The 25964-nt window shown below is 43.9% G+C and overlaps 1 protein-coding gene across 1 annotated transcript in view, besides 1 other annotated feature; it reads left to right on the top strand.

Moving 5' to 3' along the window:
- CCDC3 (coiled-coil domain containing 3) overlaps positions 1-25964 on the top strand; it is a 203365-nt gene that overhangs the window by 42546 nt on the left and 134855 nt on the right. Inside the window, exon 5 of the mRNA NM_001282658.2 lies at positions 7503-7770. The gene's annotated coding sequence lies outside the window, so the exon portion shown is untranslated. The remainder of the gene's footprint in view (positions 1-7502; positions 7771-25964) is intronic.
- Positions 6960-7461: an enhancer, noted in NCBI's record as "NANOG hESC enhancer chr10:13091983-13092484 (GRCh37/hg19 assembly coordinates)". NCBI's record gives its function as "activates a minimal SCP1, AML or CMV promoter by ChIP-STARR-seq in primed H9 embryonic stem cells {active_cell/tissue: H9 hESC(primed)}" and the evidence as "EXISTENCE:reporter gene assay evidence [ECO:0000049][PMID:30033119]".

Here is a 25964-nt window from a genome sequence, read left to right as displayed (position 1 = left end):
CCCTGAGGGATCCGATGTGTTTATGTGGCTTCACTTGCCATCTTGAAAATGGTCCCATATGACTATGGAACTGGGTTGGAGCTCCCAGCTGGAAGGAATCATGAAAAGTCTTCTTGTCCCCTCATTATTTTAAAATTTTTATTGTTTTTTTTAAGACAAGGTCTCTCTCTGTCACCCAGGCTGGAGTGCAGTGGTACCACCATAGCTCACTCAACCTCAACTCCTGGGTTCAAGCAATCCTCCTGCCTCAGCCCCCTGAGTAGCTGGGATTACAGGTAAATGCCACCACACCTGGCTATTTAAAAAAATTTTTGATAGAGATGGGGTCTTGCTGTTGTTGCCCAGGCTGGTCTCAAACTCCTGGGCTCAAGCAATCCTCCCGCCTCGGCTCTCCAAAGTGCTGGGATTACATGCAAGAGCTACTGTGCCGGGCCTGTCCCCTCATTTTAGAACTAAGGAAACTGCAGCCCAGATAATGGCAAAGTGGGGCCTAGGACCCAGGTCTTTTGACTCCAGTCTTGCCTTCCATGATACTCAGCTGCCTTAATTAATTAATTCCACAGAAAGCTAAAACCAACCATACAACTCCTCTCCCTTCCTCCTCACAATTTTTGTTTGGTGTCTGTTAAATGGAAGTGGCTGCTGCATGAATTTCCTCTAATCTCCTATGGTTACCAAACCGATGAAAATTCTAGAGTACTAAGTTCTGATTCTTCTAACCTGGTTACTCTGACCCCAGGCCCAACCATAACCCAGTCCACCTCCCTGCTTTTTATTCTGAGCAGCAGATGGCACTGTGTCCAAGTCTGGAAAGATGCTGTCTGTTTCCAGGGAAAGTTGGGGGAAATGCATTCAATCTTCCTGCTAAACACTCCTATAATTTTCTTGAGGCACTCGCCCTCCTCTTCCCAGGCTTGAGTGTGATCTGTGTGCTAACAGGCACAAGTAACACTGTCAATATGTGTGTAATGTATGTGGTTCCGGACGAGTGGGCTTAGACTGCTAGTCCATCACGAACTTGCTTCCTCTCCTTCCTGTGCACACAGCTGGACTACATTTCTCAGTTTCCAACAGAGTTAGATTTGGCCGTATGTCCAAGTTGTGGCCAATAAAATGCAAGAGGTTGTGCGCCATTTCTAGGCCCCATCTGTAAACTCACACGCTCTTTGCCCTCCACTAGCTGATGTCAGTGCCCAAATTGACCTTGGAGGTCATGGGCTGAAGATGGTGGAATTGCGACCACCTTGGGTCCCTGAATGACTGCATGGAGCAAAGTCCCTGCATTGACTTGGATCTACGTTGGGCTGTTACACAAGTTTAGAATTAAACTGTAATGTGTGAAGCCATTGAAATTTTTTTGCAGTAATTTCCCTACCACAACTGATACACAGATTAACTGATGAAACCCTAATGTCCTATGTGATATTCCTGTAGAAAATATTTCATAGGAAGTATCCATGTTTCTGCACAATAGGGATTTCTTTCTCCATATGAGACTCCAAACAGGTTCCCTGTCAAAAGGGGTTGTAAAGACCTCCCCACTCCAATTGTTTTAGCAGGCAAAGGACTTGATCTGCAGACTCAAAGGCAGGCAGCTAGCAAGGAGAAAGCACAGTAGCTTAGGAAAAAGAGAGACTGTAGCATGTGGTCAAATTTGTTTATGAGTAAAGCAGGTAACCAGGAATTTGCCAAGCATTTTGGAATGAATTAAATCCTTCAGTGAAGATAAAGGTACCGTAATAAGAACTATTCATGTTGGAAGAGTGTCTTTAAAGCTAGCCACCAACAATTTCTCACCTCCCTGTACACACGTTTCTCTTGCATCAAGAGGTGGATTCTGCCTGTAATCTCAGCACTTTGGGAGGCTGAGGCAGGAGGATTGCTTCAGCCCAGCAATTTGAGACCAGCCTAGGCAACATAGCCCTGTCTCTACAATTTTTTTTTTAATTAACCAGGTATGGTGGTGCATGCCTGTAGTCCCAGCTACTCAGGAGGCTGAGATGAGATCACTTTGAGCCCAGGAGTCTGAAGCTGCAGTGAGCTATGATCATACCTCTGCACTCCAGCCTGGGTGACAGAGTGAGACCCTGTCTACAAAAAAAAAAAAGAAGTGGATTCTGTTCCCCACACCCTTGAATCTGGGCTTGAATGTGACTTGCTTTTGCTAACAGAATGCAGCTGAAATGGTGCTGTGCCAGTTCTGGGCGTAGGCAGCTTCCACTCTCTTGAAATCCTGTTGCCTTGCAGAGAGGAAGTCCCTGTACCCTGTGGAGGAAGAGAGGCCTTGATGGAGAGAACCCAGAGGCCAAAGGCCAGCACCACCTGCTTGGCATTAAGTAAGTCTTCATGATGTTTGGGCCCCAGCTGAACTCCACTTGTTTGCAGCTGCCTGCATAACCACAATCCACACCACATGGGGCAGAGCTGTTGATCTGAGGTCAGTGCACCCTCAGAATCATAAGAAATAATAACTCCTTGGCTGGGTGCAGTGGCTCACGCCTGTAATCCCAGCACTTTAGGAGGCCAAGGCGGGTCAATCACCTGAGGTCAGGAGGTTGAGACCAGCCTGGCCAACATGGTGAAACCGCATCTCTACTAAAAATACAAAAATTAGCCACGCGTAGTGAGGGTTACCTGTAATCCCAGCTACTTGGGAGGCCGAAGCAAGAGAATCATTTGAACCAGGAGGCAGAGGTTGCAATGAGCAGAGATCACACCACTGCCCTCCAGCCTGGGCAACAAGAGGGAAATTCTGGCTCAAAAAAGAGAGGAGCAGAGAGGAGGGGAGAGGAGAGAGCCATGTTACCTGACTCGGGTTCCAGGGCTTAACTTTTCCCCTCGGCATAATGAGTTTGAAAGGTCCTGAACTTTCTTTTTCTTTTGACACCTATGACTGAGTCTGTTAGGCCAGGGGGTACCCAAAGATCATCGAGATGCAATTCCTGCCATCATGGAGCTCGTAGCCAAGCAGAGGGAGACAGAAATGCAAACAAACAGCGAGTTTTTGGAATTGCTACTGAGTGGGGGACAAAAAAAATGGAAGCAATCCACTTTGAAAAGCTTAAGCTGAGTTGGGAAGATGAGTAGGATAGGATGAGTAGCTGAGGGGATTGCAGAGGAGGAGCAAAACCAGTTCAGGCAGAGGCAGCTCAAGTACAAAGGCAGCCCGGAGTGGCCTGATGAGGTGATTGGAGGGAATGCAGATTGTTTGCAATAGCTGGGCTGAGAGGAGGCAGACCAGGTGAGGTGTGCCCCTTGCCAAGTTTCCTCTTTTTTTTTTTTTTTTTTTGATACAGAGTCTCTCTCTCTCTCTCTCTGTCACCCAGGCCAGAGTGCAGCGGCCCTATCTCGGCTCACTGCAACCTGCCCCTCCTGGGTTTAAGCAATTCCCCTGTCTCAGCCTCCCGAGTAGCTGGGATTACAGGCATGCACCACCATGCCAGCTAATTTTTGTATTTTTTAGTAGAGATGGGCTTTTGCCATGTTGGCCAGGCTGGTCTTGAACTCCTGACCTCAAGTGATCCACCCACCTCAGCCTGACAAAGTGCTGCGATTACAAGAGTTTCCTCATTCTTAACGTGCATGGCTCACTACTGCCTTGTGATGCTCTGTGCCACATGGTGCCAGATGACACTATGGGCTGTGTACCTTCACCCCTGCCCACATGGCTTATCAGGATCAAACGAGGCAGCTCGTCCATTTTGGGGTGAGCAGTGTACAAATGGAGCATCAGGCTCAGGTTTTAAGTGACAAATGAAACAAATGTGCCCTCCAAGGTTCATCAACATTCCTCACTTGAAGAACTGGTTGTCTTTTGTATCACCTCTGGTTTTCATAAGAAGCTTGAATTTGAGTTCTTTGTACATTTTATTTTATTTTATTATTTTAGAGATGGAGTCTCACTCTGTTGCCCAGGTTGGAGTGCAGTGGTGTGATCTAGCTCACTGCAGCCTCAATCTCCTGGGCTCAAGCAATCCTCCTGAGTAGCTGGGACTATAGGTGCATGCCACCACACTTGGCTAAATTTTAAATTTTTTCATGGAGATGGGGTCTCACTATGTTGCCCAGGCTGGTCTTGAACTCCTGGTCTCAAATGATCTTCCCACCTCAGCCTTCCAAAGTGTTAGGATTACAGGCATGAGCCACTGAGCCCAACCCCTTTGTACTTTTATTACGTAAGTCAGTGGTTGTCACATATTTTCATCTTCCTAATTTTAACCTTCCTGCCTACAAGAACAAAAACAAAAAAGATTATTCTACCTTCAGTCTTTTTAGTTGTTTGCATTAGAGGAAGGAAAAATGACTTTTCTTATTCCTCTGAGGTTGGAGAGGAAAAATCCTTTTTCCTGACCCCACCTCTTGCTTTTTGGGACCAGAAGTATCCAAAACTGGATGTGTAAGAAGATCCATTGGAAGGCAAGAAAAAAAACATTGGAACTTCTAGGTGTGTGTGTGTATGTGTGTGTGTGTGTGTGTGTGTGTGTGTGTGTGTGTGTGTGTGTGTGACAGAGTCTCAATCTACTGCCCAGGCTGGAGTGCAGTGGTGCAATCACAGCTCACTGCAACCTCTGCTTCCTGGGTTCAAGTGATTCTTCTGCCTCAGCCTCAGGTCATGAGCTGGGATTATAGGCATGCACCACCACATCTGGCGAATTTTTGTATTTTTAGTAGAGACAGGGTTTCACCATGCTGGCCAGGCTGGTCTCGAACTCCTGGCTTCAAGTGATCCGCCTGCCTCAGCCTCCCAAAGTGCTGGGATTATAGACATGAGCCACCATGCCCAGGATGCCTGTGGGTTTTTTAATTGGTAGAACTGTTAACATGAGATCAACCCTCAACAAAATTTTATGGGCACAAGACAGTATCGTTAGCGATAGGTGCAGCATTGTACAGCAGATCTCCTTGTGTTTGCTTTCTAATCTAAGCTGCACTTAATATATCGTCCATACATATGAATAAGTTATAACTGAACATATGTATGTAATAATTAATAAAATGGAATAGAATAAAACAACGTACCTGATCAAATCAGGTAAGCAATCAAGAAAGCTTGGAGATGTTTTTAAATTTTGAGATAGGGTCTCGCTCTGTTGCCCAAGCTGGAGTACAGTGGTGCAAGCATAACTCACTGTAGCCTCAAACTCCTGGGCTTGAGCGATCTTCCCGCCTCAGCCTCTGAGTAGCTGGGACTATAGGCACGTGCCACCATACCTGGCTAAATTTTAAATTTTTTGTAGAGACTGAGTCTCACTATGTTGCCCAGGCTGGTCTAGACTGCTGGCTTTAAGCAATCCCTGCTTCTCAGCCTCTCAAAGCGCTGGGATCACAGGTGTGTGCCGCCATGCCCAGCCAAAATTTGGAGATTATACTGCCCTAGTAATTTGCACCTTCTAGGCTTCTCCTGAAGTCCCATAAAAGGGGCCCTCCTATCTTCATGCTTAGATGAGCAGCTGCATACACAACTTCTGCAGAAGGAACCCAGGAGAGGAGTCCTCTGTCATCCCTAGTGCCATAGCATAGTCATGAGCTCCAGGCCATTTCTGCATTGTCCTGTCCAAGCGGAAGTGCTCAGTCCGGAAGTCAGCTCCCTTTCTGGTTCAGAACTGTTCCCCCAATCTGTTGCCTTTATCACAATGCTCCCACCACCCTCCATGCCCCTTCCCTTCACTCCTGGGTCTGGGACGCTGATTCTCACCTGTCTCAGGCATACCACCCCCAGTCCTCCTGCCCCACGCTCTAGCAGTCTGCCCCTCCTTCTACCCCAGCCTTGCCCAGACTTTAGATATTCCCCAGCCTTGGTAACATCTGAAGTCTGTCCTTAATATACCAGTGTCCCACCCGGGGACAGTGTGACTCTGATTTTGAAAGAAGAGTAATTATACTCTTCTGTTACAATAGTAATAGTAGTGACAGCTGCCATCATACCTGCTAGGTGCCCTGCACTTGACGTGATAATCTTCAGTGTGCACGGTGACTTTAAGGTGAATGACACTTTAGAAATGAAACAATTGAAGCTGACAGTTGAAGCCCAAAATCTAAGCTGGGATTTGCACACGAATGACCCACCTGCCACCAAAGCCTCAATCTTCCTGCCATACCTCATTGCTTTTCTGACCACCCCTGCAGGGCCTAGGGTCGTGGGTGTTAGCTTATGCTGAACCAGCGCTGGAGTGGCCTTGCTGGGTGAGAAGTAATCCCTCTTCCTCCCCACTAATTTGCAGGCTGTGACCAAAATAAATAAGATAGAATAGAGTAAGTCGGTTGGAAATACTTGAGGCTCCTTTGGGGGCAGAATCTGAATAATAACTCAAAGGAATCCCAAAGGATTAGAGCTTTGTCTAATCTGCTGATGATATTTAGACACAGAGCTCACACCTATGATCCCAACACTTTGAGTGGCTAAGGTGGAAGGATGGCTTGAGACCAGGAGTTTGAGGCCAGCCTGGGCAACATAGTGAGACCTGGTCTCTACAAAAAAAATTTTTTTAAATTAGCCGGGTGTGGTGGAGTGCACCTGTAGTCTCAGCTACTCAGGAGGCTGGGGTGGGAGGATCACTTGAGCCCAGGAGGTTGAGGCTGCAATGAGCTGTGATCTCACCACTGCACTCCAGCCTGGGTTACAGTGAGACCTCATCTGTATTAAAATAAAAAACAAACTAAAACGTAATGATAAAGAATAAATACAGGCTGGGCGCGGTGGTTCACGCCTGTAATCTAAGCACTTTGGGAGGCTGAGGCGGGTGGATCACAAAGTCAGGAGTTCAAGACCAGCCTGGCCAACATGGTGAAACCCCGTCTCTACTAAAAATACAAAAATTAGCTGGGCATGGTGGCGTGTTCCTCTAATCCTAGCTACTCAGGAGGCTGAGGCAGGAGGATTGCTTGAACCCAGGAGGCGGAGGTTGCAGTGAGCTGAGATCGTGCCACTGTATTCCAGCCTGGGTTATAGGGCGAGACTCCGTCTCAAAAAAAAAAAAAAAAAAAAAAGAATAAATAATCCAGTGATGACTATTACCAGTTTTCTCTAAGCCTAGGCCCAGCCCTGGCCCATGGCCTCAGCCCTTGGATTGATATGGCTTATTTAGGTATTTAAAGGTCGACACCTGCCTCCTGCTGTTTAATTCCCTGCAGTCTGACAGATTCACCAATTACCAAGGAGAAAGCCTGCCTTCCTTGTGCTGTGTGTAAATGAGGCTTCCATCAGCACAGACACACACACAGGCTGCAAATGGACCAGCCCTGCCCCCAATTCCACACCCACGGCCACAGCAAAGAATGCTGTGTTCCCCTTCCCCAGCCCTCACACCCAGGTTAATACCTGGGCTCACAGCCTCAGCCCCACACCCAGGTTAATACCTGGGCTAATTTCATTTTTTCACTTTTTGGGTTTTCAGATGTACACCCCAGCGGAATCAAAATGACAGATTTATGTCACATTGTGGGTTTGGATCAGAAAGCACCCTTGAGCAACACTTTGATTCTGTGTTTCTTCCCGTCCTCAGCTACTTCTTGGAAGAGCAGTGGAGAGAAAAATATTGTTTCTTTTTCTTGGGAAATTGGCAGAGGCATGCTGAAGAAATCAGCTACAGCTGTTCTCCACACCTGGATAAATTTTTAATAAGAACTTAACACACCCGCCCTCCAGAAAGGGTGGTCTGAGGTGTCGATGGTGTTGTCTCTCCCAGGGCTCTTCTGGGCAGCCTTCTCTGTGACCTGGAGAGCGAAGAGTCTATTTCCATCACATTTCAGCTGCCAAACTCCCCTTTAAACGTAAGTAAGCCATTTGATTTCTGCTGCCTTTGTTTTCCCATAAAAGGGCGTTTAAAAAAATATAATTCTCCAAGAAATCTCTAGTTGTTTTGAAATAAAAAGTTACTTTTCGCTCTTCATCTCATTTATTCCAGCTATTCTCTGCTTTGCCCTCCTTGGTTTGTGGAGCCTCATACAAATTCATTAGTACTTTTCCAGCGTCACAGGTTGGAACTGAGGGTTCCAAAGAGCAAAATGCATTTTGGCTGAAGCAGAGCCAGGAATCCATGTTGTTTGCCATTGGCGCCATCCAATTCACTTGTTCTGAATAAGGGAATAAAGTTAATATTTATTCCCTTCATGATTCTTGTATTTCAAGAAAAAAAAGTGCTCTACAGGCTTTTTCCCCCCAGCAGGTACTGATTGATTTGTTTGAATTTTGAGCTGCAATCAAGGATGGAGAATCTAACTGATCTCCTTATTCACCAAATATTTATGATTTGTGCATAGAATATTGACTAATCTCTAATGTGCAGTCTTCTTGATGAAAAGGGAAGGGATAGCTGGGGCTCGTTATTGTGTCTCTTCAGTGGATTAGAGAGATTAGATGCCTAAGATGTCCCAAAGCCTGTATCGAGTCAGGTGATCTGATCCTCATTCCCATGAACAACTTAGGAGGCCTCCCTCTCCAGTTGTGACACTTGGAATTTGTATGCTCATCTTCATCATGACTATGTAGCCAACTCTTGGTGTTGTGCAATGAAAAATGGAAAATATAAGCCAGATGATTAAAAAAAAGACCACGTGGCTCTAGGTATGATGAAAGACAGGCATATGTTTTCAGACACAATCTCCCTCTCTCTTACACACACTCCTTACTCTTAAATATTTGGATTTTTTACTTTACATCTAATTTTAATCCCTTCTCAGCTGGCACCATACTATTGATGACCAGGGGACCCACAGGGACAGCTAGCGACCTGCCAAGTTGACTCATCTGCTTGTGGAGGTAACACTTAGGAAACACCTTCAAGTTCCTGTCTGCAGTGGGTGTTGCCCAAAGTGAATATCATAGAAACCTCCCAATTATATGAGAGTCTCCATCTAAAAGTGAATGGCATCAATAGGAAAGTAGCATTTTCTGAATAGGTAACAGAATCCGTAAAGTGCAAGTGTAAAAGGAGAATAAAAACTTGGGACCCTGGCCAGGTGCAGTGGCTCACACCTGTAATCCCAGCACTTTGGGAGGCCGAGGTGGGCAGATCACAAGGTCAGGAAATCAAGACTGTCCTGGCCAACATGGTGAAACCCCGTCTCTAGTAAAAATACAAAAAAATTAGCCAGGTGTGGTGGTGCGCACCTGTAGTCCCTGCTACTAGGGAGGCTGAGGCAGGAGAATTGCTTGAACCTGGGAGGCAGAGGCTGCAGTGAGCTGAGATCGCGCCACTGCACTCCAGTCTGGCAACAGAGCGAGACTCCGTCTAAAAAAAAATAATTGGGACCTCAATTCACTCTGCCAAAAGAAAAAAAATTAAGCTTAAAGCAGAGTCATGCAAGAAGCTACCTTTTCTTTTGTTCCTAAGATAGCTATGGATAAAATACAAAACATCCCCGCAGATAGTTACTCAATTCACCTTACATTGCGCGTGAGGTGCATACATAATTGACTATTCCCCTACTTGCTCCTTTTCTCTTGCAACGTGTGGATTCAGTCATGTGACCATATCCTTCCTCCTTTCCCTCCAGCCTGCTTTCCCCCTTTAAGCCCTCAAAATCGTCTTTGGAGAAAGGCAGAGACCACAGACTGTTTCTGGGACTCCATGTTTATTTCTTCCGGCGCGTCCCTAACCTTGGCAAAATAAACTTCTAAGTTGATTGAGACCTGTCTCAGATGCTTTTTGGTTCACACAAGAAAACAAACCGATCTCAGGCCTTAGTCCCTCTGGAGAGCTTTAGAGAGGCCCATGGCTAACAGGAATCACCCAGGTCTCATAGGGAGGGCACGGATGGAGATCCAGCTTGCAGTTGCCAGGACCACACTGGGCTCCGGAGCAGATTACTGAAGTCTCTTTATATGTACCCAGGCATTCTGTGTGAAAGAAGGAGGCGGGAGGGGAGAGCCAGGTTAGTTTGGGAAATTTTGCATTACACAAAATTAAGCAGGTTTCTTTAGTCTTTGCTATGCAGATTTTATTGTGAATCTGTAAGAGGCAGAAAGAATAGAAAGCTTTCCCCAAACTTTTTGTCCTGAGAATCCCTTTTTCCTGGGGATCCCTAACATTTCAAAGGGCACTGTGATCCACAAAGCCCAGGCTGGAGAGAGCCACCCGGAGATGTCAAGGAAGCTCCAGCTGCCGGTCTGTCACCAGCTCCATGGAGACTCACCTACCAGTTTAATGGGGACTTTTCAAACCCATGGGCTTCAAATTTGGGTATGCCCATCTTCAGGGTCACAAGAGGACTTTCTAAGGCTACACAGGTACATGGTTTTTGTTCTTTTTAAATTCTGGGTCCACAATTTCCATGCGTTCTTTCCTATAATTGTTCTGGTGAGAACTGAATGGCGATGAGCCATTGCCGCTAAATGGAGTCTCTCTGTTCTGTCTCCTCTTTCGTAACAGCTGCTTCATAAATGCAAAACATCCCTCACCCTCTCTCATCTTACTAGGGTGCATTGCCCCAGGGTGAACAGATATCTGGGTTGCCAGACAAATTGCTGGATTGGCTTCTTCTTTTTTTTTTTTTTTAGAAAGTGAATGATTCTATTGACTAAGTAATAAATCTTTTTGCAGATCAGATGATTTCTAATTCTTTGCTTTCATGAAATTTGAGAGGAGACCTAATTGAGTTGTCAGAGAATTAGATCATTAAATATTTTCGATGATAGATCACTGTATCTGAAGGAGCTTGAGTAATAATTGATACTGCTTGATAAAATTGCTTCCATTCTTGTCTACTTCTTCTTCTTCTTCTTTTTTTTTTTTTTTGAGACGGAGTTTCGCTCTTGTTGCCCAGGCGGGAGTGCAATGGCCCGGTCTCAGCTTACTGCAACCTCCGCCTCCCAGGTTCAAGCAATTCTCCTGCCTCAGCCTCCTGAGTAGCTGGGATTACAGGCATGCCCCACCACACCTGGCTAATTTTTTTTTGTATTTTTAGTAGAGATGGGGTTTCACCACATTGGCCAGGCTGGTCTTGAACTCCTGACATCAGGTGATCCACCTCGGCCTCCCAAAGTGCTGGGATTACAGGCATGAGCCACCGCACCTGGCCTTTTTTTTTTTCTTTTTTTGAGACAGGGTCTTGCTCTGTTGCCCAGGCTGGAATGAAGTGACGCGATCACGGCTCACTGCAGCCTCATACTCCTGGGCTCAAGGGATGCTCCCAACTCAGCCTCCCTAGCAACTGGGACTACAGGTGTGAGTCATCATGCCCAGCTAATGTTTTTATTTGTTGTAGAGATGAGGTCTCACTATGTTGCCCAAGCTGGTCTCTAACTCCTGGGCTGAAGCAATCCTCCTGCCTTGGCCTCCCAAGGTGCTGGGATTACAGGAATGAGCAACCATGCCCAGCTTATGTACTTCTTTTTTTGTTTTGTTTTGTTTTGGAGATGGAGTCTCACTCTGTCACCCAGGCTGGAGTCCAGTGGCACGATCTCAGCTTACTGCAACCTCTGCCTCCTGGGGTTCAAGTGCTTCTCCTGCCTCAGCCTTCCTGAGTAGCTGGGATTTCAGGTGCATGCCACCGCACCCGGCTAATTTTTGTATTTTTCCTAGAGATGGGGTTTCACCAACTTGGCCTGGCTGGTCTTGAACTCTTGACCTCATGATCCCCCCATCTCGGCCTCCCAAAGTGCTGGGATTACAGGCGTGAGCTGCTGCTCCTGGCCGCTTATATACTTCTTTACATGAAAAAAGTTTTATAGTGCTTACGGTAGCAGTAGCAACAATAATTGTAAAATGAGAAAAATGTTGATGAGGACCCTGCCTATTTTAGTAAGAAGTGGAATGAAGAATAGTTTCCCCAATAAAATTCTAATTTTTATGTTATGTATATATATTTTGTTTGTTTGTTTGTTTTGAGGCAGAGTCTTGCTCTGTTGCCCAGGCTGGAGTACGGTGGTGCAATCTTGGCTGACTGCAACCCCTGTCTCCCAGGTTCAAGCGATTCTCCTGCCTCAGCCTCTTGAGTAGCTGGGTCTACAGGTGCGTGGCCTTATTTTTTGTATTTTTAGTAGAGACAGGGTTTCACTTTGTTAGCCAGGATGGTGCCCTTGTGATCCGCCTGCCTTGACCTCACAAAGTGCTGCGATTACAGGCATGAGCCACCGCGCCCAGCCAATAATTTCTTAAAAATATATTTGTTATTTTGATAAATTGCATATTAACACTACCTATAATGGTAATTCAGTCCAGAGAGATTTCTTTGATACCTGGAGCCATATGGTCACAGAAAATTTTAAAAATTAATTTCAATTTATATGCATGCTTTTGTCGTAGATAATTATGAGTGGTCAATAAAAGAATTTCAGGCATTGAATATATCACATTAACATAATATAATGTAGGGAAAGTAGAATGGAAATACAAGTTTAAGCAGTAAATGGAGTAATTTTTTGCCTGTTAAAGATGAGCTTGTTCGTGTATGTTTAAATTGAATTATGTTTGATATGAAATTGCTATGGCATTTAGATTCCATGGGAAACATTGTTAGAAGTCATGTAAGAGCTTTCCTTTTAAATCATAGATGACACAAACAAATGGAAAAACTTCCAATGCTCATGAATTGGAAGACTCGATATGTTAAATGGCCATACTGCCCAAAGCAATCTACAGATTCAACACTATTTCTATTAAACTGCCAATGTCATTTTTTTCACAAAATTAGAAAAAAAAGCTACTCTAAAATTTATATGGAACCAAAACAGAGACATCACATTATTAGACTTCAAACTATAATATAAAGCTGCATAGTACTGGTACAAAAACAAACACATAGACCAATGGAACCGAATAGAGAACCCAGAAATAAGGCCACACACCTGCAGCCATCTGATCTTCAACAAAGTCAACAAAAATAAGCAATGGGGAAAGGACTCCCTATTCAATAAATGGTGCTGGGATAGCTGGCTGTCCACATGCAGAAGAATGAAACTGGATCCTTACCCTTCATGTAGAAAAATTAACTCAAGATGGATTAAGGATTTAAACGTAAGACCTTAAATGAAAAGTCCTAGAAGAAAACCTAGGAAACACCATTCTGGACATTGGTCTTAGGAAAGAATTTATGACAAAGTCCTCAAAAGCAATTGCAACAAGACCAAAAATTGACAAATGGGATCCAATTAAAGGGCTTCTGCAAAGCCAAATAAACTATTAACATAATAAACAGACAACCTACGGAATGGGAGGATATTCACAAACTATGCATCTGACAAAGGCCTAATATCCGGAATCTATAAGGAACTTAAACAATTCAACAAGCAAGAAACAATAACCTTATTAGAATCGGGCAAAAGACATGGGCAGACACTTCTCAAAAGAAGCTGTACAAATGGCCAACAAACATATGAAAAAATGGTCAACATCACTAATCATCAGAGAAATGCAAATCAAAACTACAATGAGATACCATCTCACACCAGTCAGAATGGCTATTATTAAAAAGTCAAAAAAACAACAGATGCTAGTGAGGCTTCAGAGAAAAGGGAATGCTTATTTACTGTTGATGAGGATGTAAATTAGTTCAGCTGTGGTGGAAAGCAGTTTGGAGAGTTCTCAAATAACTTAAAATAGAACTACTATTCAACCCAACAATCCCATTACTGGGTGTATATCCAAAGGAAAATAAATCATTCCACCAAAAAGTTACCTGCAATCATATGTTCATCACAAGCAATATTGACAATAGCAAAGACATGGAATCAACCTAAGTACCCATCAATGCTGTACTGGATAAAGAAAATGTGGTACATATGCACCAGGGAATACTACGCAGCCAGGAAAAAGAATGAAATCATGTCCTTTGCAGCAACGTGGGTGGAGATCTTTGTCTTTATGTCTTTATTGTTGTGTCTTTTTTATTTTTATTTTATTTTATTTTTTGAGACAAAGTCTCACTCTGTCCCCCCTGGCTGGAATGCAGTGGTGTGATCACAGCTCACTGCAACCTCCACCTCCTGGGTTCAGGCGATTCTCCTGCCTCAGCCTCTCGAGTAGCTGCGACTACAGGCGCACATCACCACGCCTGGCTAAGTTTTGTTTTTTTAGTAGAAGCAGGTTTTCACCATGTTGGTCAGGCTGGTCTCAAACTCCTGACCTCAAATGACCCACCTACCTCAGCCTCCCAAAGTAGCTGGGATTACAGGCGTGAGCCACCATGCCCAGCTTATCTTTGTCTTTGTCTTTGCTTTCATCTTTATGTCTCATGGACATAAGGATGGTAATAGTAGACACTGGGGGCTCCTGGGTCAGGGAGAGGGAGAGGGATTAGGCTTGAAAAACTATTGAGTACTGTGCTTACTACCTGGATGACAGGATCACTTGTGTCCCAAACCTCAGTGTCACACAAATATACCCATATAACAAACCTGACATGTACCCCCTAAGCCTAAAATAAAAATTGAAATTATTTTTTAAAAGTTTTCCTTTTAAATGTTCAATATTTGCAATTACCAGAAGTTATATCCTTTCTGTGTAAACTTATGAAGGAACATTTGAGATGTTAACTTAAATAGGTGTGAGAAGCCATGGAGTTTTCTTTTTCTTTTCTTTTTTTTTTTTTTTTTTTTTGAGACAGTCTCCCTCTGTCGCCCAGGCTGGAGTGCAGTGGCGCCATCTCGGCTCACTGCAAGCTCCACCTCCCAGGTTCGCGCCATTCTCCTGCCTCAGCCTCCCGGGTAGCTGGGACTACAGGCGCCCGCCACCACACCCGGCTAATTTTTTTGTATTTTTAGTAGAGACAGGGTTTCACCATGTTAGCCAGGATGGTCTCGATCTCCTGACCTCGTGATCCGCCCACCTCAGCCTCCCAAAGTGCTGAGATTACAGGTGTGAGCCACCACGCCCGGCTGAGAAGCCATGGAGTTTTCGACCATTATTTTAGAAGGTAACCAAGCAGGAAGTTGAAGTTCTCTGCATCCAACAGCACATAAGAAGAATTTAAAAATAGGTATTCGGAGATGATGACAATATTTGGCTTCAACCAGGCTTTGAGCTAGTCCCACATTGCTTTCATACCGGATAACCAACCTCATCAACTGGGCCATGGGACCACCTTATGGAAACTGTCCTGTGGCGGTCTCCCGCCCCTCATTCCCTGACTCATTCTTGCCTCAAATCCCAGAAAGCCTCAGAAAGTAGAAGGTGAAATGTTGGTCCTAGTTCCCAAGCCGTAGTCCACCCACCAACCATCTCAACAATTAGCAATGATTTGCAGATTTGCAGTTTTCAAAGTGTTTTCCTCTCCTTTGTCTCCTCACTGCTACCTGCTGTGATAGGTGAAGAAATTGGAGCTCAGAGGATTTCAGTGATTTGCACGGGATCACACAGCAGGAAACGGCATCGTTAATATTTGGATCCAGGCTATTGGTCTTCAAACTCTATGTTTCATCCACGACATCTCATTGTTTCTGGAGAGTCTTCTTTTAGACAGAGGCCAAAGCGTCTGGGATCTCCTGAGTCTGGGGAGCCCATTCAGCACTCTTAGGGAGATGGTGGTGAGTGGGTGTCCCTGGTCTCTTCTGGGAGCCTCCATCAAGATTCTCTGCCAGGGCTGGGCACGGTGGCTCACACCTGTAATCCCAGCACTTTGGTAGGTTGAGGCAGGTGGATCACTTGCGGTCAGGAGTTCGAGACCAGCCTGGCCAACCCTGGTCTCTTCTGGGAGCCTCCATCAAGATTCGCTGCCAGGGCTGGGCATGGTGGTTCACACCTGTAATCCCAGCACTTTGGGAGGTTGAGGCAGGTGGATCACTTGAGGTCAGGAGTTCGAGACCAGCCTGGCCACCAGCTGGGCATGGTGGCATGCCCCTGTAGTCCCAGCTACTCGGGAGACTGAGGCAGGAGAATCACTTGAACTGGGAGGTGGAGGTTGCAGTCAGCCGAGATTGCACCATTGCACTCCAGCCTGGGCGACAGAGTGAGACTCTGGCTCAAAAAAAAAAAAAAAAAAAAAAAAAAAAAAAAAAAAAAATTATCTGCCAGACACTTGGAGTGAACTTACACACAGCGAGGGGGAAATCAACACATACAGATACTTAGTGTGGAACAAGATATCACGGTGTGGAGCCAAGACGAGTATAAATAAACATTCACATAAAAATGTGCAAGATTTGCCGTGAGTGGTGTTTTAGTCTGTATAGTTATACCAGAAATAAGAATTGGTCGGATGTCAAAATACTACTCATCTAGCTTTAGTTTTTATTTTTAATTGAAGACAAAGGCTTTTAGAAACCAAGAGAAATACTAAATCTGTTTCAACTTACCTCAAAGGGCCCAGATGAATAGGTACTTCTGGCTGGCTAAGTTGAATCTATGCTTTGGGTGTTATTTTTGAGAACTTTAGAGGAGAAATTTTTTTTCTTAGCGCACTTACTAAAAAGGCTGCTAGACGTACATATTGGAAAAATAATTACTCAGTGTTTGGGACTTAATTTTTTTGGTTCCTCAGCATGAGGTATAATCATTTGAGGCTGAGCCCTTGAGAACATTAAAAGTCAAATGAAATTTCTAAAAAACAAGAAAGATTCTCAAGGTCTTAAAAGAGTAAATCTATAGGTGAGATACACAATAAATAATTTGCATCCACTTAGTGCATACAGGAAATAATTTACTAGATAGGACTCCAGCATCGTACATAATACAAGGTCACCTTCAAAGGCTACCTGAAAGTTTGGGTATGCAGGTGGCCAGTTTAGTAACCTGGAATTTATCTTACCTGTCCTCATTGGTTGGCTCCAGCTGTTTACTTTGTGTGTGTGTGTGTGTGTGTGTGTGTGTGTGTGTGTGTGACAGAGTTTTGCTCTTGTTGCCCAGGCTACAGTGCAGTGGCATAGTTTCAGCTCACTGTAACCTCTGCCTCCCAGGTTCAAGCGATTCTCCTGCCTCAGCTTCCTGAGTAGCTGGGATTACAGGCGTGCACCACCATGCCCAGCTAATTTTGTGTTTTTGGTAGAGATGGGGTTTTACCATGTTGGTCAGGCTGACCTCAGGTAATCCACCTGCCTTGGCCTCCTAAAGTGCTGGGATTACAGGCGCGAGCCACCGCATCTAGCCCCAGCTGTTTACTTTTGCGGATGACTCACGTTGCTGGTTGTTCAACCTCCACTGATAGATAAGGCTCACTTCCTTTTGTCACAGCCTATCTTGGGCTGGCAAACGTGTTAACATAGGGGACGGTGTCACAAATATTAAATTCTTCGTGGAATTTAATTGCAAATCTGGGTTGACACAGTGGGGTCTTTCCCAAGCACAATCTGGGTATCGTGAAAAACTTGCAAATGGTACCCTCCATCCTAATTCACTGTGTTCGCCCCAGCTTCTGAGACGTCCCTCTCATGCCCATCTTTCCTGGGACAGACAACCTGGATGTTGAATTTAATGCCTTTGTGACTGGGCTTTTAGTGCCAGAGAATCACTTGCCTGAAGTCATAATTCAAATTACAGTGAAATCAGACAGATATTCATAGACTATCAAGCTGGGAGGATGCCAGAGACCATTTACCAATGTCAGCGGTCACCTAGGTGCTATAGGCAGCTCAGGCAGGAAGATCTTTTCTGTGAAACCTTTCTGTGCAGGACAAACAGCATTCTAGATCCTGCCCACTGTATGTCACCAGTACGTCTGTCACAGTTATTGTAACAACTAGAACCCACCTCTCCCGCATTTCCAAGTACTGAGGGAGACGGATGGTCCTACCATTTTCAGCTGACGATGCTGTGCACAAGGAGGAAATCAGATCCAGGAAAAGAGAATTACTTGCCTGAGGTCACAGTGCAAATTACAGTGAAATCAGAATGTTACTCTGCACTCTCCCAACTTTAATCTCTGTCCCGATACTATCCATCTGCAAAGCAGCAGAAAAACATCCTAATTAACTTACTATTTGTGACCAGTATCTGTGAAATGCTTTAAACTCCTAGGCAAAAGATACTAAGTAACTACTCCTAGTTCTTTATTGCTTATTTGTAACTCAAAGCACTATCAATTCCAGTGTAAATAACCAAATAATAATTTAAATTGTAATCCATTCTGGAAGTACCTTTTTTTTTTTTTGAGACAGAGTCTTGTTCTGTCGCCCAGGCTGGAGTGCAGTGGCACGATCTCAGTTCACTGAAACCTCCGCCTCCCAGGTTCAAGTGGTTCTCCTGCCTCAGCCTCCTGAGTAGCTGGGATTACAGGTGTGCTCCACCACACCCAGCTATTTTTTGAGATATGCGGGTTTAGTAGAAACGGGGTTTCACTATGTTGCCTAGGCTGGTCTCGAACCCCTGACTTCAGGAGATCTGCCCGCCTCGGCCTCCCAAAGTGCTGGGATTACAGGTGTGAGCTCGAAGTACTTTTCCTAAAGAAAGCTAGAAGAGGGATGGATAGATGACCACAACCCTGCCAGTGCTTGCTTATTTGAACTGAAGCATGTGCGTGGTGGCATTTGAGCTCTCCGAGATATTTTGTCAAAGAATTTCTCTTGGAGTTACATTATCTACTCCAGGGACCCCTGTTTAGGTTCTTCTGGATTGCGGGAAGGGAACTGGACTTCCAGAAGTCGCCCAATGGGAGCTAAAGGAACCACCTTGAGCAGGTGTGCAAGATGTAGCCACAAGGAGACATAAGTGCTGCAGGATGGTGTGGGAGAAAACAGCCCTCTCCCCAGCCCACAGATCTATCCCTTCCCACAGCTACATCAGCGGGAGCAAGATGCTCCCTGCCAAGCACTTGAAGCTGCCTGGAACAAGGTGCTACACAAACACCGTCCTTATTATTGCTTCTAATCTGCAGACCCTGAGCTCTCTGTCTGTAAATACCAAGACAGCAGTGGGGCTGGGTAGACAGAAGCCAGGGCTTGGAGCACCCCAGGCTACTTGTTGCTAGGTGCTTTGCCAACCAGTGATGCCAAGCCTCTAAGCTAAGCCTCAGCAAGTCCTATATATTTGTCTGTGATAGGAGCTTCCTCTTTTAGAACATAAATACTGGTCTGTTTTCTTAAACAATCAACTTTTGTTCTTTCCCATCAGAGCTACACAGCCCTAGGCTGCTCTTTCTCTTTGCTGAGTCTTGAGAGCAGAACTCAGGTCTTCCAGCTTTCTTTTTTTTTTTTTTTTTTGCTTTCCAACTTTTAAGTTCCAGGGTACATGTGCAGGATGTGCACATTTACATAGGTAAATGTGTGTCACCGTGGTTTGCTGCACAGATCATCCCATCATCTAGGTATTAAGCCCGGAATCCATTAACTACTCTTCCTGATGCTCTCCCTCCTCACACCCTCCACCCTCTGATAGGCCCCAGTGTGTGTTTTTCCCCGCCATGTGTCCATGTGGTCTCATCATTCAGCTCTATTTATAAGTGAGAATATGTGGTATTTGGTTTTCTGTTCCTCATTAGTTTGCTGAGGATAACAGCTTCCAGCTCCATCCATTCCCTGCAATGATCTCGCTCCTTTTCATGGCTGCATATTATTCCATGGTACCACATTTTCTCTTTTGAAATCTGTTGGAGACCTGGCTGGGGAAAAGGCTCTTAGGGTCTAAGTTGTTAGTTTCCCTCCTCCACTGTGGAACCAGCAGAGGAGTAGGGAAGTGTAGAGACTCAGGGTGTATGCCATCCAGTTTCACCAACTAAGGCAGTGCAGAGTGCCTACAAGATCAAAGGATGCTCCTCTGGAAATCTTTGTTTTAGAGATGGGATCTCACTATGTTGTCCAGGCTGGTCTCAAACTCCTTGGTGGGAGAGCTCAGGTAATCCTCCCACCTTGGCCTCCCAAAGTGCCGGGATTATAGACATGAGCTACTATGCCTGGCCTCCTCTGGATATCTTGGCTGGCAAAGGGGTTCAAAGCTTAAGAGATGAATTTGCAGCCAAATTCAGAGGGGGGTGAACTCTTCAAGACAATGCACCGAATTTCCTCAACTACCCAGTGGCGTGGAAAGAAAAAGGGAGGAGAGAGATGATAATTTTACTGATTCTAGTGAGAAAAATATAAAAGAGACTTAGAGACATGATCACCTTCTACAATGTTTCCCATAAACCTATGGTAAAAAGATTATTTTAGAAATTTGGGGAATTTTTATGTAGGATCAAGTGTCAGATGATTAATTTTGTTGGATGTGTTAATGGCATTATGGTTACGTAATAAGGTATTATCTTCTTTTTAATTACCCAATGAAGTATTTAATTTAAAAAAAACTTGAAAACTTGGATTTGTTTTAAAACATTTTGACTTTTAAAAAGTGAGTGTAGATGAAATGTGTGATAAAACGTTGATAATTATTAAAGCTGAGGGCTTGTACGCTATTTTAGACATTTTTATTTTTAAAAATGTAGCAAGGATGACAAATATTTTATATAAAAACATGGGAATTAGTTATGTGATAAAGGTACTCAAAGTACATGAGGCAGCCAGGCACAGTGACTCATGCCTATAATCCTGGCACTTTGGGAGGCTGAGGCAGGAGAATGGCTTGAGACCAGGAATTCAAGACCAGCCTAGGCAACACAGTGAGACCCTATCTCTACAAAAAATAAACAAAGAAAATCAGCTGGGCATGGTGGTGCATGCCTGTAGTCCTAGCTATGCTGGATACTGAGATGAGAGGATTGCTTGAGCCTGGGAAGTCGAGGCTGCAATGAGCCGTGATCACACCATTTGACTCCAGCCTGGGTGACCCCATCTCAAAAAAAAAAAAATGTACATAAGAGCCAGGCACAGTGGCTCACACCTGTAATCCTAGCACTTTGGGAGGCCAAAGTGGGCAGATCACCTGAGGTCAGGAGTTCGAGACTAGCCTGGCCAACATGGTGAAACCCCATCTCTACTAAAAATACAAAAATTAGCTGGGCATGGTGGCGTGCACCTGTCGTCCCAGCTACTCGGGAGGCTGAGGCAGGAGAATTGCTTGAACCCATTAGGCAGAGGTTGCAGTGAGTGGAGATCGTGCCACTGCACTCCAGCCTAGACCACAGAGCGAGACTCCATCTGAAAAACAAAAACAAACAAACAAAAAAAGCACACATAAGGCCTTCACTTTTCTGTCTAGCTTAGAGAGAACATGGTTTTCTAGAAGTTTGTCTGATTTAAGCTCTTTGGGAAAGAGTTTTCTATTTGCAAAGTTTGGTATGGTTTACTTGAAGTTTTAAAAAATATATAGCATGGATTTTTTTAAAGGCTTTGAAAAACCTGTTAAATTCAGTGAGGTCAACAGTATAAAAGAGATAGGGCAGGACTCAGGACAACATCTCTTATCCCCCAACACAATATTTCTTCCATGTTCTCCTTTTCTGTATTACTTCATCCTGGTGGGCAGCCACTTGTTTTTGTTTGTTTGTTTGTTTGTTTTTTGAGACAGAGTCTTGCTCTGTCACCAGGCTGGAGTGCAGTGGCTCAATCTCGGCTCACTGCGTTCTCCACCTCCTGGGTTCAAGCGATTCCCCTGCCTCAGCCTCCTGAGTAGCCGGGACTGCAGGTGCATATCACCACACCTGGCTAATTTTTTGTATTTTAGTACAGACGGGGTTTCACCATGTTAGCCGGGATGCTCTTGATCTCCTGACCTCATGATCCATCCGCCTTGGCCTTCCAAAGTGCTGGGATTACAGGCATGAGCCACCATGCCTGGCCGGGCAGCCACTTGTTTATGGTATTAGACACTTCAGCTCCTTTTTGCTTCTCTCCCTAGAGGAAAGGGTTTCGTTTGTTGCTTTGTCTATTCAAGTCTATTTTCTGAATGTCTTCCCAGGTAGTGCCTGTTCCAGGACAGCTTAAGTCAAGTAGCCCTGGGTTGCACGTGAATGATGATCATAAAACCTGGATGTTCTTGATATTTTAAAACATGCCTCGGGATGATATAGTTCTTCCCTTAACATGAATTAAACAAGCAGAACATGGTTGGTTCAATGGAACATACACAGAAATGATACAGAGCTTGCCCTTAACTAACTCACAGGTTTAACCACAAAAACAAAAATTACAACTTTTTACAAAGGTTCACATAGAGTAGGAGGCCTGTTCTGGCAAAGTGTTTTTGAAAAATGTTGCCGTTCATTTCAGAACCAAGTTGAGACTTATCTTCTTTACCAGCTAGCATTTATTTTTTATTTTATTTTATTTTATTTTTGGTCTCTAATGTCTAATGTGTAACTGCTGAGCTGCAAGAATCATCACTGCAGTCGAGCCCAAAAGTGAGAATTTCTTTTATCTAGCTTTCAGGAAGTTAGCAGAAAAAATAACCTAAGACACGCTAGAGCAAAAACAGGAGAAAAATGCACTAAAGCCAAGAAGAGGCAGCTTCCACCTAGGAAAGCCTCTGGCTGTGAGATTGCCACCCAGAAATGCAGAGAGATCAGTGTTCTCTACCTGGGTATCCTGCAATGATGCCAGGACTGGGCTTCGTAGGGGTTTCCTCCAGTCCTGTTTTTCTTTTCCTCTTTTTTTTTTAATTTTTTTTTTTTAATTTTTTGAGACAGAGTCTCACTTTGTCGCCCAGACTGGAGTGTAATGGCGTGATCTTGGCTCACTGCAACATCTGCCTACTGGGTTCAAGCGATTCTCCTGCCTCAGCCTCCCAAGTAGCTGGGATTACAGGCATCCGCCAACATGCCTGGCTAATTTTTTGTATTTTTAGTAAAGATGGGTTTTTGCCATGTTGGCCAGGCTGGTCTCAAACTCCTGACCTCAAGCAATCCACCCACTTTGGCCGCCCAAAGTGCTGGGATTACAGGCGTGAGCCACCGCACCCAGCGCCAGACCTGGTTTTTTGTTTGTTTGTTTGTTTGTTTGTTTTTTACAGTGAGAACATTGGATTCCATTTATTACAGGAATAATAGTTTAGAGGAATCTGGACTGAACTAATACAAAAAAGGTCCCATTGGAATAATGTTAATACATTCCTAACTATTGCTATGACTTTGGTTTATTTCCAAACTTTTGGAAAAATGTACCCATTTTTTTTTTTTTTTTAAGATCTAGGCTTTTGGGGGAATTCTTTTTTAAAATTATACTTTAAGTTCTAGGGTGCATGTGCACAATGTGCAGGTTTGTTACATATGTATACAGGTGCCATGTTGGTGTGCTGCACCCATTAACTTGTCATTTACATTAGGTATATCTCCTAATGCTATCCCTCGCCCCTCCCCCCACCCCCCAACAGGCCCCGGTGTGTGATGTTCTCCACCCTGTGTCCAAGTGTTCTCATTGTTCAATTCCCACCTATGAGTGAGAACATGCAGTGTTTGGTTTTCTGCCCTTGCGATAGTTTGCTGAGAATGATGGTTTCCAGCTTCATCCACGTCCCTACAAAAGACATGAATTCATCCTTCTTTATGGCTGTATAGTATTCCATGGTGTATATGTGCCACATTTTCTTAATCTAATCTATCATTGATGGACATCTGGGTTGGTTCCAAGTCTTTACTATTGTGAATAGTGCCACAATAAACATACGTGTGCATGTGTCTTTATAGCAGCATGATTTATAATCCTTTGGGTATATACCCAGTAATGGGATTGCTGGGTCATATGGTATTTCTAGTTCTAGATCTTTGCAGAATAGCCACACTGTCTTCCACAGTGGTTGAACTAGTTTACAGTCCCACCAACAGTGTAAAAGTGTTCCTATTTCTCCACATCCTCTCCAACACCTGTTGTTTCATGACTTTTTAATGATTGCCATTCTAACTGGTGTGAGATGGTATCTCATTGTGGTTTTGATTTGCATTTCTCTGATGGCCAGTGATGACGAGCATTTTTTCACGTGTGTGTTGCCTGCATAAATGTCTTCTTTTGAGAAGTGTCTGTTCATATCCTTTGCCCACTTTTTGATGGGGTTGTTTGCTTTTTTCTTGTAAATTTGTTTAAGTTCTTTGTAGATTCTGGATATTAGGCCTTTGTCAGATGGGTAGATTGTAAAAATTTTCTCCCATTCTGTAGGTTGCCTGTTCACTCTGATGGTAGTTTCTTTTGCTGTGCAGAAGCTCTTTAGTTTAATTAGATCCCATTTGTCAATTTTGTCTTTTGTTGCCATTGCTTTTGGTGTTTTAGACATGAAGTCCTCGCCCATGCCTATGTCCTGAATGGTATTGCCTAGGTTTTCTTCTAGGGTTTTTATGGTTTCAGGCCTAACATTTAAGTATTTAATCCATCTTGAATTAATTTTAGTACAAGGTATAAGGAAGGGATCCAGTTTCAGCTTTCTACATATGGCTAGCCAGTTTTCCCAGCACCATTTATTAAATAGGGAATCCTTTCCCCATTGCTTGTTTTTGTCAGGTTTGTCAAAGATCAGATGGTTGTAGATGTGTGGTATTATTTCTGAGGGCTCTGTTCTGTTCCATTGGTCTATATCTCTGTTTTGGTACCAGTACCATGCTATTTTGGTTACTGTAGCCTTGTAGTATAGTTTGAAGTCAGGTAGCATGATGCCTCCAGCTTTGTTCTTTTGGCTTAGGATTGACTTGGCAATGCAGCTCTTTTTTGGTTCCATATGAACTTTAAAGTAGTTTTTTCCAATTCTGTGAAGAAAGTCATTGGTAGCTTGATGGGGATGGCATTGAATCTATAAATTACCTTGGGCAGTATGGCCATGTTCACGATATTGATTCTTCCTATCCACGAGCATGGAATGTTCTTCCCTTTGTTTGTGTCCTCTTTTATTTCGTTCAGCAGTGTTTTGTAGTTCTTCTTGAAGAGGTCCTTCACATCCCTTGTAAGTTGGATTCCTAGGTATTTTATTCTGTTTGAAGCAATTGTGAATGGGAGTTGACTCATGATTTGGCTCTCTGTTTGTCTGTTATTGGTGTATAGGAATGCTTGTGATTTTTGCACATTGATCTTGCATCTTGAGACTTTGCTGAAGTTGCTTATCCGCTTAAGGAGATTTTGGGCTGAGATGATGGGGTTTTCTAAATATACAATCATGTCATCTGCAAGCAGGGACAATTTGACTTCCTCTTTTCCTAATTGAATACCCTTTATTTCTTTCTCCTGCCTGATTGCCCTGGCCAGAACTTCCAACACTATTTTGAATAGGAGTAGTGAGAGAGGGCATCCCTGTCTTATGCCAGTTTTCAATGGGAATGCTTCCAGTTTTTGCCCATTCAGTATGATACTGGCTGTGGGTTTGTCATAAATAACTCTTATTATTTTGAGATACGTCCCATCAATACCTAGTTTATTGAGAATTTTTAGCATGAAGGGCTGTTGAATTTTGTCGAAGGCCTTTTCTGCATGTATTGAGATAATCGTGGTTTTTGTCTTTGGTTCTGTTTATGTGACGGATTATGTTTATTGATTTGCATATGTTTCAACCAGCCTTGCATCCCAGGGATGAAGCCAATTTGATTGTGGTGGATAAGCTTTTTGATGTGCTGCTGGGTTCGGTTTGCCAGTATTTTATTGAGGATTTTCGCGTCAATGTTCATCAGGGGTATTGGTCTAAAATTCTCTTTTTTGGTTGTGTCTCTGCCCGGCTTTGGTATCAGGATGATGCTGGCCTCATAAAATGAGTTAGGGAAGATTCCCTCTTTTTCTATTGATTGGAATAGTTTCAGAAGGAATGGTACCAGCTCCTCTTTGTACCTCTGGTAGAATTTAGCTGTGAATCCATCTGGTCCTGGACTTTTTTTCATTGGTAGGCTATTAATTATTGCCCCAATTTCAGAGCCTGTTATTGATCTATTCAGGGATTCAACTTCTTCCTGGTTTAGTCTTGGGAGGGTGTATGTGTCCAGGAATTTATCTGTTTCTTCTAGATTTTCTAGTTTATTTGTGTAGAGGTGTTTATAGTATTCTCTGATGGTAGTTTGTATTTCTGTGGGATTGGTGGTGATACCCCCTTTATCATTTTTTGTTGCATCTATTTGATTCTTCTCTCTTCTTTATTAGTCTTGCTAATGGTCTATCTATTTTGTCGATTTTTTCAAAAAACCAGCTCCTGTATTTATTGATTTTTTGAAGGTTTTTTTGTGTCTCTATCTCCTTCAGTTCTGCTCTGATCTTAGTTATTTCT

The sequence above is a fragment of the Homo sapiens genome, chromosome 10, assembly GCF_000001405.40.
Source record: "Homo sapiens chromosome 10, GRCh38.p14 Primary Assembly".
NCBI classification, from domain to species: domain Eukaryota; kingdom Metazoa; phylum Chordata; class Mammalia; order Primates; family Hominidae; genus Homo; species Homo sapiens.
This window is presented reverse-complemented; position numbering and strand designations above follow the sequence as displayed.